We start from the raw sequence: 16834 nt of genomic DNA, 5'->3' as shown, positions 1-16834 counted from the left end.
CTGGGGAGGGGAAGATGCCTGTCGACCTGGACAGAGGGCCTGGACAGAGGCAGCCCTGGGCTGAGTTGGCCCTTGCTTGCCGCTTCTCCTTGGGAGCACTGGGACAGGATCCCAGAAGGTTCCAGAATGCATGTCAAGCAAGCAGCAGTCCCTGTGGAGTTTGGGGTAACATGCACAGAGGAAGAAATGGCGGAAAAGCAGCATCAGGATGGCTTTAGGGCAGGGAGCTGCTGGAAGGTGGCAGACAGAGTGAGCAGGGGCAGGAGATGGGCCAGCGAGGCACCCGCTGACATGGAAGTGCCGTCATGCGCTGCACAGCAACCTTCCAGGCAAGGAGGGACACGTGCATGACAGTGGTCCCATGACTATGATGGAGCTGAAGAATTCCTATGGCCTAGGGATGTCATAGCCGTGGTACTGTCGTAGCACAGACGTCACTCGTGGGAGCGATGGGCTATGCCACCCAGCCTAGGGGTAAATGAGGTGCACCTTCCAAGAGCCACCTAATCACCATTTCCCAGAATGCATCCTTGTTGTTAAGGGGCCCGTGACTGTATGTCTTGGGAAGCAACACGTGACTGTTGTCCCGCCCTGCACTGACTGCCCAGCGAGCGCTCAGAATGCATTAGATATGGGGTGGACAGAGGAGGAGGACAGCACCAGCACCCAGACAGCAACTTCCCTTGGAATCACCATTTCCTGAACCAGGGGATCTCCCCAGCCACCCACACCAAAGCCTAAACTCTCATACCTCCTCTCTCTAAAGCAGGGGTCTGCAAGCTTTCTCTGCAAGGGCCACGTACAGAATCTTTTCAGTTTTGTCGGAAGTACCCACGTCTGCCCTTTTGGTGCCAAAGCCAGTAAAGGTGACACATAATGAGAGGGAGGCGCCGTGTGCCAATGGGACATGTGTGCCAATGGGACTTGACTCACAGACACCAACATTTGAATTTCATCTAATTTTTACATGTCATGAAATATTATTCTTTTTATTTTTTTAACCAGTAAAAAATGTTCTTAGCTCGCTGGGCTGGAGAGAAATAGGTTGCAGGCTGGATTTGGCCTGAGGGTAGTTTGCTGACCAAGGGAAAGGGAAAAAACCAAACTTGCTCTAACCCACCTCTCTCCCTCCAGTCCCATGCAGTCCCACTTTCCTTATTTTTTTATTTTTTATTTTTATTTTATTTTATTTTTTTGAGACAGGGTCTTGCTCTGTCGTCCAGGCTGGAGTGCAGTGGCACGATCTCAGCTCACTGCAATTCTCCTGCCTCAGCCTCCCAAGTAGCTGGGACTACAGGCGCCCGCCACCATGCCCGGCTAATTTTTTGTATTTTTAGTAGAGATGGGGTTTCACCATGTTGGCCGGGATGGTCTTGAACTCCTGACCTCAGGTGATCCGCCCACCTCAGCCTCCCAAAGTGCTGGGATTACAGGCATGAGACACCGTGCCCGGCTTTTATTTTTTATTTTTGGGTAAAAACAAAATTATCTCCACCATTAATTTTTCTTCCTTTTGACTTGGTTTTCTATTACACAGGTAACTCTGTTCTCTCCACTGAAACGCCGCCATTACCATGTGCTCAATTCCCAAACACATTCGAGTCTCTTTATTGATTCAGTTCCACTCCATTGATCTTCTTGGTTCTTCCTGCACCAGGACCAAAGTTATTACAGTTAATAATACATGGAGGCTTATCTTTGTGCAGATTTCTTTGTACCGGGATTTTCAGAAGACTTTCCTAGCCCTGGAAGGCTGGTGTAAAAGAAAGGTTTCTTTCGGCCGGGCACGGCGGCTCACGCCTGTAATTCCAGCACTTTGGGAGGCCGAGGCGGGCGGATCACGAGGTCAGGAGATCGAGACCATCCCGGCCAACATGGTGAAACCCCGTCTCTACTAAAAATACAAAAAATTAGCCGGGCGTGGTGGCGGGCGCCTGTAGTCCCAGCTACTCGGGAGGCTGAGGCAGGAGAATGGCGTGAACCCGGGAGGCGGAGCTTGCAGTGAGCTGAGATCGCACCACTGCACTCCAGCCTGGGAGACAGAGCAAGACTCCGTCTCAAAAGAAAAAAAAATAAATAAATAAATAAATAAATAAATAAATAAAGACAGGCATAAGAAATTATAAAAGTATTATTTTGGAACTGATAAATGTCCATGAAATCTTCACAATTTATGTTCAGAGATTGCAGTAAAGACCGGCGTAAGAAATTATAAAAGTATTAATTTTGGGAACTGATAAATGTCCATGAAATCTTCACAATTTATGTTCCTCTGCTGCAGCTCCAGCTGTTCCCTCCATTCAGGGTCCCTGACTTCCTGCCACCACGCCCAGCTAATTTGTTGTGTTTTTAGTAGAGACGGGGTTTCACTATGTTGGCCAGGCTGGTCTTGAACTCCTGACCTCAGGTGATCCGCCCACCTTCGCCTCCCAAAGTGTTGGGATTACAGGCGTGAGCCACCGTGACTGGCAGGAGCGGCTTTTTAAAGCTGTCATTGGTGAAGAAGTAACAGCCACTGGTTTTGTCTGGGTGGGATGTCTGGTGCTTTGTGGCTGGTGCAGTGAGCTTGCTTCCACCCCTGCTTCGGTGCAGTGACGAAGTGGCCTCGCGTGGTCTAATTTAATCTCGGCCTCCGAGTAGCCCTGTCCAGGGCTGTATTCTGCGGGGCTGCTTATGTCCAGCAGGCTGTGAGTGCCCGTTAGCTTCCAAATGGCAGGGGCTTCTCTTTAAAAACTTATTTTTCTCAGAAGTTGTCATGGTCCTTGGTTGCTCCCCGTGGCCTTGTGTCCTTGCTTTCCTGGGATAGCCTCAATGCAAAATATTTTCCTCTCATCGACCAGAATGAACTGCTGGCATTTGGATCTGAAAATCTACATCCTATAAGAATATTCCTGATGCTTTTTAAATGTTATCTGCTCTTTGTTTAAGCACCTTCTACATGCCAGGTATTCATTCAAAATGAACTTACGAACTCCATTTTTTTTTTTTTTTTTTTTTTTGAGAAGGAGTCTTACTCTGTCACCCAGGCTGGAGTGCAGTGGCGCGATCGCGGCTCACTGAAACCTCCACCTCCCGGGTTGAAGCGATTCTCCTGCCTTAGCAATCCTGAGTAGCTGAGATTACAGGCAGGCGCCTGACTCTTTTCATTGAGAATACAACACAGTATTATTACCTGTAGTCACTATGCTATACAATAGCTCTTTAGAACTTTTCCATCCAGTCTACCTGAAACTTCATAGCCTTTGCCCAACGTCTCCCCATTTCTCCGCCATCCCTACAACCCAGCCCACAAGATCATTGTAATAGACACAGAAACGCATTTGGCAAAGTCATGTTTTTTATGACAAAAAAGAAATTAAAAAACTAAGAATAGAAGGAAAATTCCTCAATTTGATAAAGTACATTTACAGCAGACTTATAGTGAACATTATTCTTATTGTCAGAGGCATTTAAACCAGAGTGACTCCATCTTGTATAAGGGCTGTTTAAATAAAAAAAGGCTGAGACCTACTAGGCTGCATTCCTAGTAAGTCTGGTATTCTAAGTTACAGGATAAGATAGGTCAGCCCAAGATACAGGTCATAAAGACCTTGGTGATAAGACAGCATGCAGTGCAGAAGCCGGCCAAATCCCATCAAAACCAAGATGGGGATAAAAGCTACCTCTGGTCATCCTCACTGCTCATTACATGCTAATTATAATGTATTAGCATGCTAAAGACACTCCCACCAGCACCATGACAGTTTACAGATGCCATGGCAATGCCAGGAAGTTACCCTATATGGTCTAAAACAAGAAGGAACCCCCAGTTCTAAGAATTGCCCACCCCTTTCCTGGAAAACTGATGAATAATCCACCCCTTGTTTAGCATATAATCAAGAAACAGCTATAAAAATGGACAACAGCAGCCGTTGGGGGCTGTTCTCCCTGTGGAGTAGCCATTCTTTTATTCCTTTATTTTCTTTCTTTCTTTTTTCTTTTCTTTTTTTTTTTTTTTTTTTTTGGAAAGGAGTCTCGCTCTGTCGCCCGGGCTGGAGTGCAGTGGCGCGATCTCGGCTCACTGCAACCTCCGCCTCCCAGGTTCAAGGGATTCTCCTGCCTCAGCCTCCCGAGTAGCTGGGACTACAGGTGCCTGTCACCACGTCCGGCTAATTTTTTTGTATTCTTAGTAGAGACGGGGTTTCACCATGTTAGCCAGGATGGTCTCGATCTCCTGACCTCATGATCCACCTGCCTCGGTCTCCCAAAGTGCTGGGATTACAGGCGTGAGCCCCCGCGCCCGGCCTCCTTTATTTTCTTAATAACCTTGCTTTCACTTTATGAACTTCCCGAATTCTTTTTTTCGGGGGGAGATGGAGTTTTGCTCTTGTCACCCAGGTTGGAGGGCAATGGTGTGATCTCGGCTCACTGCAACCTCCGCCTTCCCGGGTTCAAGCGATTCTCCGGCCTCAGCCTCCCAAGTAGTGGGGATTACAGGCATGCACCACCATGACCGGATGACTTTTGTATTATTAGTAGAGATGGGGTTTCACCATGTTGATTAGGCTGGTCTCGAACTCCTGACTTCAGGTGATCCACCCACCTCAGCCTCTCAAAGTGCTGGGATTACAGGCCTCCAAATTCTTTCTTGCTCGAGATTCAAGAATCCTTTCTTGGAATCTGGAATGGGACCTCTTTCCAGTAACATTATGGTGAAAAAGCCTCCTTAAGCTTTGGAAGATGACAAGGATATCACCCTCACCATTTGTATTTCACGGAGTACTGGAGGTGAGAAAAGGAAGCTAAAGGCACAAGACAGGAAAAGCAGAAGTAAGACAGTCATTATTAGCAGAGAAAAATGATCCTGTATGTAGAAAAATCTTGAGTAATCTTAAACAACAAAACAGACTGGGCACAGTAGCTCATGCCTGTAATCCCAGCACTTTGGGAGGCTGAGGCAGGAGGATCACTTGAGCCCAGGAGTTTCTTTTCTTTTTTCTTTTTCTTTCTTTCTTTTTTTTATTTATTTATTTTTTTTGAGACGCAGTCTCTCTCTGTCGCCCAGGCTGGAGTGCAGTGGCGCCATCTCTGCTCACCGCAAGCTCCAACTCCCCGGGTTCACGCCATTCTCCTGCCTCAGCCTCCGGAGTAGCTGGGACTACAGGCGCCCGCCACCACGCCCGGCCAATTTTGTTTTTGCATTTTTAGTAGAGACGGGTATTCTGGTAACCAGGCAGGAGAATGGCGTGAACCCGGGAGGCGGAGCTTGCAGTGAGCCAAGATCGCGCCACTGCACTCCAGCCTGGGCGACAGAGCGAGACTCCGTCTCAAAAAATAAATAAATAAATAAATAAATAAATAAAATAAAGCTACAGTAATCAAGATGAATGTTATTGGCATACAGATAGGCATATAGACCAGTGGAACAGAACTGAGAATGCAGAAACAGACCTTACGTTTCTGGCCTGTTGATTTTTTTCTCTTGATAGTTTAATATACTTTTTATTGGCCGGGCACGGTGGCTCACGCCTGTAATCCCAGCACTTTGGGAGGCCGAGACGGGTGGATCATGAGGTCAGGAGTTCGAGACCAGCCTAACCAACATGGTGAAACCCCGTCTCTACTAAAAATACAAAAATTAGCCGGGCGTGGTGGTGTGCGCCTGTGATCTCAGCTACTTGGGAGGCTGAGGCGGGAGCATTGCTTGAACCCGGGAGGCGGAGGTTGCAGTGAGCCAAGATCGTGTCATTGCAGCCTGGGGCACAGAGTGAGACTTTGCAGGACTACGCGGCCCGGAACTGACGGGGTCTGCCCTGGTTTATTTTTTTATCTTTCTTTAAAGTAAAGAGTGCAGAAGGCTTCCCCTCCTCTCACGCCGCCTCCCCAAAGAGGGCCAATGTGGGTGACTTTCTGACTTTCTGAGTGGCCCCCAAAGCAAATTCCGAGGCCTGCGCGTCGCGAATCTTCTCTGCTGGGGCGCTGGTGGAGCCGTTTCCCAGCTGGTGCCTCTGGCCCGCGAATCCTGCTGGAAGGCGGTGGTTCTGCGATGCCCTGTGGATTCGCCCCAACGCCTTGTTGGCCCGGGAACCCTGGGGATGTTTTATAAGGAAGGAAAAGATGCAGGTGAACCCCCGGAGGAAGGTAGCGTGGCCGAGCGGTCTAAGGCGCTGGATTAAGGCTCCAGTCTCTTCGGAGGCGTGGGTTCGAATCCCACCGCTGCCAGCTTGTTGTGGTTTGCCCATTTTGTCCCCCAGTTCCTTGGAACTCTCCCTGGGCCGCACCCTTGCTCGGGATCTGGATTCCATTTGGCAGCGCGCAGCTGTCCAGTGGACGGGCTTTGTGCGAAGTTCGTCGGCGCTGGTGTCCACAGCAAGTGAAGTGGGTTCAGTTCGTCCCAGGTTCCAATGGTTGAGGCGGAAAGGCAAAGGTATAAATACCCTTGATAGCCTTTTTTCCTTAACCAGGTGGAGATAGCGGTGGAGTGTTGTAGGCAAGTCCTCAGTGTAACAAATCTGAGATAATGAGGTAAAAAGCAGAAGGAGGTGTTTCCGCCCGGTTTCGAACCGGGGACCTTTCGCGTGTGAGGCGAACGTGATAACCACTACACTACGGAAACCTGCATGGGATACCTGTGCCATCACAATGAGCCACCACACAGGGCGGTATTTTATTTCTCATCATAATTCAGAGCTTCCTCCATGCGTCCCTTTGAGCTTTGTTAATGAGCATGAACACACAAAAAAAGCACGTTTCAGCACCTGGAAGGCTGAGGCGGGAGGACGGCTGGAGCCCGGGAGGTCCACACTGCACTGAGCTATGATTGCAGCACTGCACTCCAGCCTGGGCGACAGAGCAAGATCTTGTCTCGAAAGAGAGAAAAGAAAGAAACAAGAAAAGGAAGTTTTCATGTGCAATGTGGTGGCATAAGTGGACACGGGAGTCTTGAGAGAGGATGTGGCAGCAACAGTAGGCACGGGGGTTGAACAGCAGGGGCGCGCTGGCACCATTTTCAAAGAGAAGAGACATTTAGAAGAAGCTGCTTGGGGAATATGAGGACACGCGTTCGTGAGTAGAGCTGAAGTTCGTGGGTCTGGAGAAATTGGAGTGGAATGAAAGAGGAAGTAGCCTAAAACACCATTGTTATTGTTCCATTGTTTGGTAGAACTCTAGATTTTCCTAGCAGCCACTGCTGTCGGACATTTAGGGTAATTTCCTCCCACCAACAATGTGCAAGCGTTATGAAGGCTACACCCTTGGCAACATTTGGCACTTTTCATTGATTATTACTTTTTTAACTTCTAGCCATTTATGGGTATGTAGTATTCCTTATGGTTTAAGTTTGCATTCAGCTGATGAGAAAAGATGGGCACTCTTTCATGGGTTTATGGCTCATGTGTTTATCTTACTGTGTGAAGTGTCTCTTTAAATATCTTGTCCGTTAAAAACGAGCAAAGAAAAAAACACATAAACAAACAGAAAACCCCAAGAAACAAAAAACAAAGAACTGGTCTGGCGTGGTGGCTCACACCTGTAATTCCAGAACTCTGGGAGGGCGAGGTGTGCGAATTGTTTGAGCTCATGAGTTGAGACCAGTCTGGGCAACACTGGGACATCATCTCTACAGAACATTCAAAAATTAGCTGGGAGTGGTGGCGTTCACCTGCGGTTTCTGTAGGTACTCGGGAGGCTGAGGTGAGAGTATTGATTGAGCCTGAGAGATGGAGGCTGCAGTGAGCAGAGATCTCGGTGCTGCACTCCAGTCTGGGTAACAGAGCAAGACCCTGTTCCAAGAAAAAAAAAAAAAAAAAAGACTCTCCTATGTCTTTTTTAATTCTGGAAACTCCTAAATTTCAGCTTGTCTGTTTAAGTGTAAATTCTGTTTCATATAATTTTTCTGTTATGGTATGAGTTTGGAATTAAGGTTAATTTCTTTCCCCTATGGATATCCAGCTGCTCCTGAACCCATTTGTTGCAAAGACGCTATTTCCACATTGAATTGCTTTGGTGCCTTTGGTGAAAATCAAATAACTGCATATATGTGGGCCCAAATTCTTTTTGTTCATTTTTTGCTTTTTAATTAAACATTTCAAATAGGCCAGGCATGGTGGCTCACCCCTGCAATCCTAGCGTTTTGGTAGGCTGAGGCAGGAGGATTGTTTGAGGCCAGGAGTTGGAAACCAGCCAGTGCAACATAGCAAGACCACGTCTCTACAAAAAAAAAAAAAAAAAAAAAAAGTTTGCTGGGCATCAAGGCTGCAGTGAGCTGTAATCACACCAGGGCACTGCTACTGGATGCTACTGGATGACAGAGTGAATCCCTGTCTCCAAATAAATAAACAAATAAGTAAATTAATACATCTTTGCATTAGATGAATATGCCGTTTTGTTTATCCATTCATCAAAGAATGAACATTTATGTTGTTTCCAATTTTTTTTTTTTTTTTTTGAGAGAGATTCTCACTCTTGTCACTCAGGCTGGAGTACAGAGGTGCCATCATAGCTCACTACAATCTCCACCTCCTTGGTTCAAGTGATCCTTCCACCTCAGCCTCACAAGCAGCTGGGACCATAGGTGCACACCACCACACCTGGCTAATTTTTGTATTTTTTGTAGAGACTTGGTCCCTATGTTGCCCAGGCTGGTCTGGAACTCCTGGCCTCAAGCAGTCCACCCACCTTGGCCTCCCAAAGTGTTGGGATTGCAGGCATGGGACACCTTGCCTAGCCTTTGTTTCCACTTTTTCGCTATAATGAAAAATGATACCATATATATTTTGTGTACATTTTTTATGTGAACCAAGGTTTTCAACTCACTTTTATATATACCTAGGAGTGGAATTGATGGATTGTATAGTAACCCTATGTTTAACTTTTTGGTATAGAAAGTGAAACTTGAAACTAGCAATTCCACTACCACCATTTATTTATATGACATTTCCAGAAAAGGCAGATGAAAACAGAGAGAAAGCAGATCACTTCTTCTGTACCACTGAGGCCGAGAGCCAGGACTGGCTGCAGATGGGCATGTCGGAAATCTTTGTGGTAACGGAACTGTTTTAAGACTGGATTGTGGTGATGGTTGCAGAATCCTATGCGGTGACTAAAAATCATTGAGCTGTAAACTTACAGTGAGTGGACTTTATTGTATTGAACTGTGCCCCAATAAAGCTGTTATGGAATGCTAAACCATAAAAACAGACCCCCAAACACAGCAGCGAGGCAGTTAGTGTTCCCCAGGGATCAGCTGAGTGACCGTTGCAGTGTGCAAAATGATTCCTGTGGCCCAGAGCATAATTAATGTTTACAGAATGCTTTAATGCAGCCTTGGAGAGCAGGTAACTTGCACCTTGAAACTTGAAGTTCTTGCTTAGTGTTGCTTGTAATTAAGCTAAAGTAGTTGTATAAATAATCAAGATGTGAGTAAATTTACGGAGATGCCAAGTAAATGAAGATGAGCGACCACCGCGAGACTGAAGCTGGGAGGGACGTGATGGAAGTCATCCAATCCAAAACTGCCGGAATGGAGACCTTGCCAATGGATGGGTTTAAAAAACGAAAAGTGCATGTTACAGAAACGAAATGAGGATCCGTCATAGGATCGTTTACGGCCAACACTCAACACCGGCACGTCCACCCAGTAATGTGCGTCTGCAGGAGGGGCCAGTGTGTGCTGCTGTGTTTTGTGTGTCATGTGCAAAGTCCTGGTCCTTGAGGAGATGGGGGCACTGGCTTTTATTTTCCACAGCTGTCTTTTTAAATCTAGGAGAGAAAAGCTGCTGTCGGCGAGCGCTCGGGGCCGCAGGAGGGTCGCGGTGTTGAGTGTGCTGGGCCTCTGCAGGGGCCGCCTGGGCGGGTCAGCTCCTGCGCTGGCTGTCAAGGTGCGAGTTACACAACCCCGGGAGGGGCGGTTCCTCGTCTGTAGAATGGGGTGAGAGCAGCGCCTTTCTTACGGGCGGGTGACCAGGGTCAGAGCAATTAACACCCGCACTAGCACTGGGTACGACTGAAGAAACACTCACGGAATCTACAGCTGTGCCAAGGCAGCTCAGTTCCAGGCCCAGGGGACACAGCACGAAGGAAACAAAACGCACGGATCCTGCTCCCCAGAGGGGAAGGGTGGGGGTGAGGAACAAGGGAAGACCGAGGCCACACAGGCGGACAACGGTGGACGGCACTGCGCGATGGAGCGGGGCCTCCGCCCAGGGAGATGTGGAAGAGGCGGCGCGAGGGCGCACGGGGCTGCAGGGGAAAGGCGGGTGCGGGGCCTGCAGGGGCCGAGCAGGAGGCTGGGGGAGGATTCATTGGAACTCGCCTTGGGCCCCACGCTTGCTCGGGATCTGGATTCCCTTGGCAGCGCGCAGCCGTCCAGTGGACGGGCTTCGTGCGAAGTTCGTCGGCGCCGCTGTCCAGGGCAAGTGAGGTGGGTTCAGTTCTTCCCAGGTGCCTCAGCCGTTGAGGAAAGGCCACGGTATAAATACCCTTGATGGCCTTTTCTCCGTAACCAGGTGGAGATAGTGGTGGGGTGTTCCAGGCTAGTTTTCTTGTAATAAATTTGAAGTAATGAGATGAAAAGCATAAGAGTCTGTTTCCGCCCGGTTTCGAACCGGGGACCTTTCGCGTGTTAGGCGAACGTGATAACCACTACACTACGGAAACTTGCACGCGTTTTCTGGCCCACCACAATGAGCCACCACACAAGGCCGCATTTTATTTCTCATGGTAATTCTGAGCTTCCTCCATGCGTCCCTTCGAGCTTGGCTAATGGGCATGAGCACACAAGAAAAGGACGTTTCAGCACTTGGAAGGCTGAGATGGATGGACGGCTAGATTATCCAAGCAGCCACTGCTGTTGGACATGTAGGTTATTTTCCTCCCATCAACCATGTGAAAGCGTTATGAGGCTACCTCCTTGGCCGCATTTGGTACTTTTCACCTATTACGATGATTATTTTTTAACTTCTAGCCATTCTTCTGGGTATGTAGTATTTCCTCATGGTTTAAGTTTGCATTTAGCTAATGAGGAAAGACGATAAGCACTTTTTCATATGTATGACTCATTTTTTAAATCTTCCCTTGTGAGGTGTCTCTTAAATATCTCTTCCATTAAAAGCAAAGAAACAAAAAACAAACAACCAAAAAATCCCCAAAAACCAAAAACGAGGAACTGCCCTCGCGTGCCAATTTAGAATCTGGCATCTTAAAAAAAAGAAAGAAAGAAAGAGAAAAAACCACGCCAGGCACGGTAGCTCCCGCCTGTAATCCCAGCACAGTGGAAGGCGGAGGTGGGTACATTGCTTGAGCTCAGGAGTTTGAGACTAGCCTGGGCAATGTGGCAAAACCCCAGGTCTATTTAAAAAAAAAGAAGAAGAAAGAAAGAAAAAGGAAAACATAAAACCTAAAGCAAACCAATTTTTCATTTTGAAACAATTATAGTTTCACAGAAAGTGGCAAAGAAAACTAAAGGGAGGTCTCAGGCACTGGTCTTTCCCAGTGATGACGTCTTACATAATTGTAGCACGGTAACAAAACCAGGAAAACGGCATTGGTACAATCCACAGAGCTTACTGGGACCCCTCCAGTTATACATGGATTCGTGTGTGTGTGTGTGCGTGTATGTTTCTCTACACAGCAATTTTATCACGTGTAGCTCCCTGTGACTATCACCGCAATCAGGATACAGAACTGTTCCATTATCACAGCCAGCACCACACTCTTAGAGCCACACACACCCCTACAGCGTCCCTTGTCCTCCAGTTCCTAACTCCTGACAGCCACGAATCTGTTTAATGTCTCTAAAAATTTGTTATGTCAAGAATGTTATACAAATGTAATAATACAGCCCGTGGCCTCTAGCAACTGGCTTTTTTCATTTAGCATAATTCCCTTGAGATCCACTCTAATTGTATCAATACAGTAATTCATTTATTTTTATTGATGAGTAGCATTTCAAGCTATAAATATTCCACAGTTTGTTTAATCATCCACCAGGTGAAAGTCTGCATTGTTTTCAGTTTGGCTATTATATTGCTTTTCTCTGAGATAAATGGTTGAATGCAATTGCTAGGTCATATGCTCAGTGCATTTTTAGTTTCTGAAGAAATGACCAATCTATTTTCAGAGTGGCTGTGTCTTTTCACATTTCTACGAGCCTTCTATGAGATTTGGTTTCTTTGCGCTCTTGCTGGCATTGATGTTATCTCATTTTTTTGAGACACCGGCAGGGGGCAGTAGAGGTGGGGAGTAGGGGGACTGCCCGGGCAGGGGTAAGGGGAGGGTCGCACTGTGCTTCCCAGGCTGCTCTTGAACTCCCGGGCTCAAGTGATCCTCCCGCCTCAGCTTCTGGGATGGCTGAGATCACAGCTTGCACAACTACGCCTGGCTGTTTTTTAATTTTAGCCGTTCCAATAGGTGTATAGTGATAGCTCCCTTTCGTCTTAATTTGCATTTCCTGAATGGCTAGTGCTGTTGGACACCTTATGTACTTATTTGGTACCTTCATTTCCCTTTCTATATAATGTCTCCTCATGTTTTTGCCCATTTTCTAAATGGATTTTTTTCTCTTTTTAGAAATTGTAATAAAATATACACAACATAAATTGCCATTTCAACAGTTTGAAATGTACATGTCAATAGCATTAAGTACATTCACATTCTTATGTAATCATCACCACTAGCCTCAATGTTTTAATCATCCCATATAGAAACAGTATAGTCATTAAACAACAACTCCCTGTTCCTTCCTCACCCAGCCCCAGTAACTCCTGCTCTTCTATCCCTGTGAATCTGACCACACTATTCCTCATAAGTGGAATCACACCATATTTGCTGTTTTGTGTCTGGCTTACTTCAGTCTGTGTAAGATTAAAGGTTCATCCATGTTGTAGCATATGTCCGGACTTCATTCCTTTTTAAGGCTGAGTCATAGCCCATCATGTGTATACACTACATTTTCTTTATCCACTCAATTATTCGATGGACATTTTGGTTGTTTTCACCTTTTGGCTGTTGTGAATAATGCTGCTATGAACACTGCTGTACAAATATCTTTTCCACTCCCTGCTTTTAATTCTTTTGTGTTTATACCCAGAAGTAGAATTTCTGGATCATATGGTAATTCTGTTTAAAGTTTTGAGGGACCGTAAAACTATTTTCTACAGTGGCTGTATCATTTTACAATCCTGTCATTAACTCACAAGGGTTCCAATTCGTTCACGTTCTCACCAACATTTGGTTATTTCCTGTTTTTCTGAAAATAGCCATGTTAATGACTGTGAGGTGGTATCTTCTTGTGGTTTTGATTTGCATTTCCCTGATGATTAATGATGCTGAGCATCTTTCCATGTGCTTATCCCCATTTCTATATCTTCTTTGAAGAACTGTCTATTCTACTCTTTTGTCCTCTATTTTATTGTTTGTTTGTTTGTTTTGAGATGGAGTCTCGCTTTGTGACCCAGGCTGGAGTTCAGCGGTGCAATCTCGGGTCATTGCAACCTCCGCCTCCCGGGTTCAAGCAATTCTCCTGCCTCAGCCTCCCGGGTAGCTGGGACTACAGGCACGTGCCACCACGACCAGCTAATTTCTGTACTTTTAGTAGAGACAGGGTTTCACCATATTGGCCAGGCTGGTCTCGAACTCCTGGCCTCAAGTGATCCACCCACTTTGGCCTCCCAAAATGCTGGGATTACAGGCGTCAGCCACAGTGCATATTTTAATTGGGTTATTTATTTTTTGTTGTTGAGTTGTGGGAGTTTTTCACATATTCTAGATATTCATCAGTTATCAGTCACGTAATTTGCTAGCAGTTTCTCCCATTATGTGGGTTGCCTTTTTGCTCCGTTAATAGTATGCTTTCATGTACCAGTTGGTTGAATGTTTTTTGTTTTTTGGGGTTTTTTTGAGATGAAATCTCAAAGTGAGCTGCCCACCTAGGCCTCCCAAAGTGCTGGGATGACAGGCGTGAGCCACCGCGCCTGGCCTGTTGAGTGTTTAGTCACGAGAGGGTGTTGAATTTTGTCCAATACTTTTTCCGCGTCAATTGCATTTATCGTGTTCTTTCCTTCTTTCACTCTTTTAATATGTAGGATTTTTTCTCAGTGCTGAGTTTTGATTATTCTTTATATAGCCCAGCTACAAGTCCTTTGTCAAATATGTCCTTTGCAAATATTTTCTTTTCAAGTAGTTTTTGTTTTGTGTTGTTTTTGTGTTTTGAGACATAGTCTCACTCCGTCGCCCAGGCTGGAGTGCAGTGGTGCCGTCTCAGCTCACTGCAACCTACACCACCCGCGTTCAAGCAATTCTCCTGCCTCAGCCTCCCAAATGGCTGGGATTACAAGCCTGCACCACCACACCCGGCTAATTTTTGTATATTTAGTAGAGACCGGGTTTCGCCATGTTGGTCAGGCTGGTCTGGAACTCCTGACCTCAAGGGATCTGCCCACCTCAGCCTCCCAAAGTGCTGGGATTACAAGCGTCAGCCACGCACCATGCTTCAAGTAGTTTTTGATAAAAGTGCAAAAGCAATACAATGGAGAAAGGATCGTGTTTTCAACAAACAGTGCTGGAGCAGCCATAGGCCAAACTAATGAACCTTAGCCAAGCCTCACAGCTGAGACAAAAATGAACCCAAAGGAGATCATGGGCTTTAATGTCAGATTTAAAACTATACAACTTCAAAAAGACATAGGAGAAAATCTAGACCTAGAGCTGGGTGAAGAGTTCTTTGACTTGACACCAAACAGGAAAAAAAAAAAGGTGAGTTGGACCTCACCACAAACAAACACTTCTCTGTGAAGACTCTGTCAGGATTAGAAGATGTTTTTGAAGTAAAACAAAAGATCTGGAGAATCATGGGTACTTTTGCAAGAGCAATGCTCTTTAGCCGTACACCTGAAAATTCTGGTGTCAGAGCTTAACCAACCTCTACTCAGGAACACAGTTCACAGCAAAAAAAAAAAAAAAAAAAAAAAAAAAAAAAAAAAAAAAAGGGAATGGATGTACAGGGTTTCTCTCTGCTCTTTTTTTGAGACGGAGTCTCGCTCTGTCGCCCAGGCTGGAGTGCAGTGGCGGGATCTCAGCTCACTGCAAGCTCCGCCTCCCGGGTTCATGCCATTATCCTGCCTCAGCCTCCCGAGTAGCTGGGACTACAGGCGCCGCCACCTCGCCCGGCTAATTTTTTGTATTTTTAGTAGAGACGGGGTTTCACCATGTTAGCCAGGATGGTCTCGATCTCCTGACCTCGTGATCCGCCCGCCTCGGCCTCCCAAAGTGCTGGGATTACAGGCGTGAGCCACCGCTCTTGGCCGGCCCTGGTTTGTTTATCTTTCTTTAAAGTGAGAGGGTAGAAGGCTTCCCCAGCACTCACGCCGGCTCCCCAAAGAGGGCCGATGTGGGTGACTTTGAGTGACCCCCCAAAGCAGATCCCGAGGCCTGCGCTTCTCGAATCTTCTCCGCCAGGGCGCTGGTGGAGCCGTTTCCCAGCCGGTGCCTCTGGCCCAGAGAATCGTACTGCAAGGCGGTGGTTCTGCAATGCCCTGTGGATTCGCCCCAACGCCTTGTTGGCCCGGGGACCCTAGCGATGTTGTATAAAGAAAGGAAATATGTAAGTATACGGCCAGGAGAAAGATAGCAAGGCCGAGCGGTCTAAGGCTCCGGATTAAGGCGCCGGTGTCTTCGGAGGCATGGGTTCGAATTCCACCTCTGCCAACTTGTTGTGATTTCTCCATTTTGTCCCCCCATGGGTTGCAAAAGGAGGATTCATTGGAACTCGCCTTGGGCCCCACGCATGCTCGGGATCTGGATTCCACTTGGCAGCGCGCAGCCGTCCAGCGGACGGGCTTTGTGCGAAGTTCGTCGGCGCCGCTGTCCAGGGCAAGTGAGGTGGGTTCAGTTCTTCCCAGGTGCCTCAACCGTTGAGGAAAGGCAACGGTATAAATACCCTTGATGGCCTTTTCTCCGTAACCAGGTGGAGATAGTGGTGGGGTGTTCCAGGCTAGTTTTCTTGTAATAAATTTGAAGTAATGAGATGAAAAGCATAAGATTCTGTTTCCGCCCGGTTTCGAACCGGGGACCTTTCGCGTGTTAGGCGAACGTGATAACCACTACACTACGGAAACTTGCACGCGTTTTCTGACCCACCACAATGAGCCACCACACAAGGCCGCATTTTATTTCTCATGGTAATTCTGAGCTTCCTCCATGCGTCCCTTCGAGCTTGGCTAATGGGCATGAGCACACAAGAAAAGGACGTTTCAGCACTTGGAAGGCTGAGATGGATGGACGGCTGGAGCCCAGGAGGTCGAGGCTGCAGTAAGCTATGATTGCGCCACTGCACTCCAGCCTGGAAGACAGAGCAAGACTCAGTCTCGAAAGAGAGAAAAGAAAGAAAAAGGGAGAGAGAGAGAGAGAAGCAAGAAAAGGAAGTTTTCATGCCTGATGTGGTGGCATAAGCGGGCATGGGAGTCCTGACAGAAGGTGTGGTGGCGACCTCAGAGAGACGTGAGGCAGTCGAGCTGTCTGGGGTTGACAGTGGGCCTGGGGGTTGAACAGCAGGGGCGCGCTGGCAGCGTTTTCTAAGAGAAGAGACTTTCAGAAGAAGCTGCTTGGGGAATATGAGGCCATGCGTTCGTGAGTGGAGCTGGAGCTTGTGTGCCTGGAGAAACTGGAGTGGAATGAAAGAGGAAGTAGCCCACAACACCATTTTTATTGTTCCATTGTTTGGTAGAGCTCTAGATTATCCAAGCAGCCACTGCTGTTGGACATTTAGGTTATTTTCCTCCCATCAACCATGTGAAAGCGTTATGAGGCTACCTCCTTGGCAGCATTTGGTACTTTTCACCTATTACGATGATTATTTTTT

At 47.1% G+C, this 16834-nt stretch overlaps 4 non-coding genes and 1 pseudogene across 4 annotated transcripts, besides 6 other annotated features; 2 read left to right on the top strand and 3 right to left on the bottom strand.

Annotated features, from left to right (window-relative positions):
• The first annotated feature begins 6119 nt into the window (after positions 1–6119).
• On the top strand, positions 6120–6201 carry TRL-AAG1-3 (tRNA-Leu (anticodon AAG) 1-3). Its single transcript has one exon. It is a non-coding gene; the product is annotated as a tRNA-Leu (tRNA).
• Positions 6490–6569: a silencer, noted in NCBI's record as "silent region_16780". NCBI's record gives its function as "represses an Ori minimal core promoter by ATAC-STARR-seq in GM12878 lymphoblastoid cells {active_cell/tissue: GM12878}" and the evidence as "EXISTENCE:reporter gene assay evidence [ECO:0000049][PMID:35858748]".
• TRV-CAC1-4 (tRNA-Val (anticodon CAC) 1-4) lies at positions 6523–6595 on the bottom strand. Its single transcript has one exon. It is a non-coding gene; the product is annotated as a tRNA-Val (tRNA).
• Positions 6830–6969: an enhancer, noted in NCBI's record as "active region_23780". NCBI's record gives its function as "activates an Ori minimal core promoter by ATAC-STARR-seq in GM12878 lymphoblastoid cells {active_cell/tissue: GM12878}" and the evidence as "EXISTENCE:reporter gene assay evidence [ECO:0000049][PMID:35858748]".
• Positions 9284–10013: an enhancer, noted in NCBI's record as "H3K4me1 hESC enhancer chr5:180597232-180597961 (GRCh37/hg19 assembly coordinates)". NCBI's record gives its function as "activates a minimal SCP1, AML or CMV promoter by ChIP-STARR-seq in primed H9 embryonic stem cells {active_cell/tissue: H9 hESC(primed)}" and the evidence as "EXISTENCE:reporter gene assay evidence [ECO:0000049][PMID:30033119]".
• Positions 10014–10744: an enhancer, noted in NCBI's record as "H3K4me1 hESC enhancer chr5:180596501-180597231 (GRCh37/hg19 assembly coordinates)". NCBI's record gives its function as "activates a minimal SCP1, AML or CMV promoter by ChIP-STARR-seq in naive H9 embryonic stem cells {active_cell/tissue: H9 hESC(naive)}" and the evidence as "EXISTENCE:reporter gene assay evidence [ECO:0000049][PMID:30033119]".
• TRV-AAC1-3 (tRNA-Val (anticodon AAC) 1-3) lies at positions 10563–10635 on the bottom strand. The gene has a single exon. It is a non-coding gene; the product is annotated as a tRNA-Val (tRNA).
• Positions 12282–12371: a silencer, noted in NCBI's record as "silent region_16779". NCBI's record gives its function as "represses an Ori minimal core promoter by ATAC-STARR-seq in GM12878 lymphoblastoid cells {active_cell/tissue: GM12878}" and the evidence as "EXISTENCE:reporter gene assay evidence [ECO:0000049][PMID:35858748]".
• On the top strand, positions 15600–15681 carry TRL-AAG7-1 (tRNA-Leu (anticodon AAG) 7-1; annotated as a pseudogene).
• On the bottom strand, positions 16019–16091 carry TRV-AAC1-2 (tRNA-Val (anticodon AAC) 1-2). Its single transcript has one exon. It is a non-coding gene; the product is annotated as a tRNA-Val (tRNA).
• Positions 16402–16696: a silencer, noted in NCBI's record as "tiled region #11855; K562 Repressive DNase matched - State 1:Tss". NCBI's record gives its function as "represses a minimal TATA promoter and a strong SV40 promoter by Sharpr-MPRA in K562 cells {active_cell/tissue: K562}" and the evidence as "EXISTENCE:reporter gene assay evidence [ECO:0000049][PMID:27701403]".

This window comes from Homo sapiens, chromosome 5, assembly GCF_000001405.40.
Source record: "Homo sapiens chromosome 5, GRCh38.p14 Primary Assembly".
NCBI lineage: Eukaryota > Metazoa > Chordata > Mammalia > Primates > Hominidae > Homo > Homo sapiens.
Note: the sequence above shows the minus strand (reverse complement) of the source record. Positions and strands in the feature narration are given on the sequence as shown.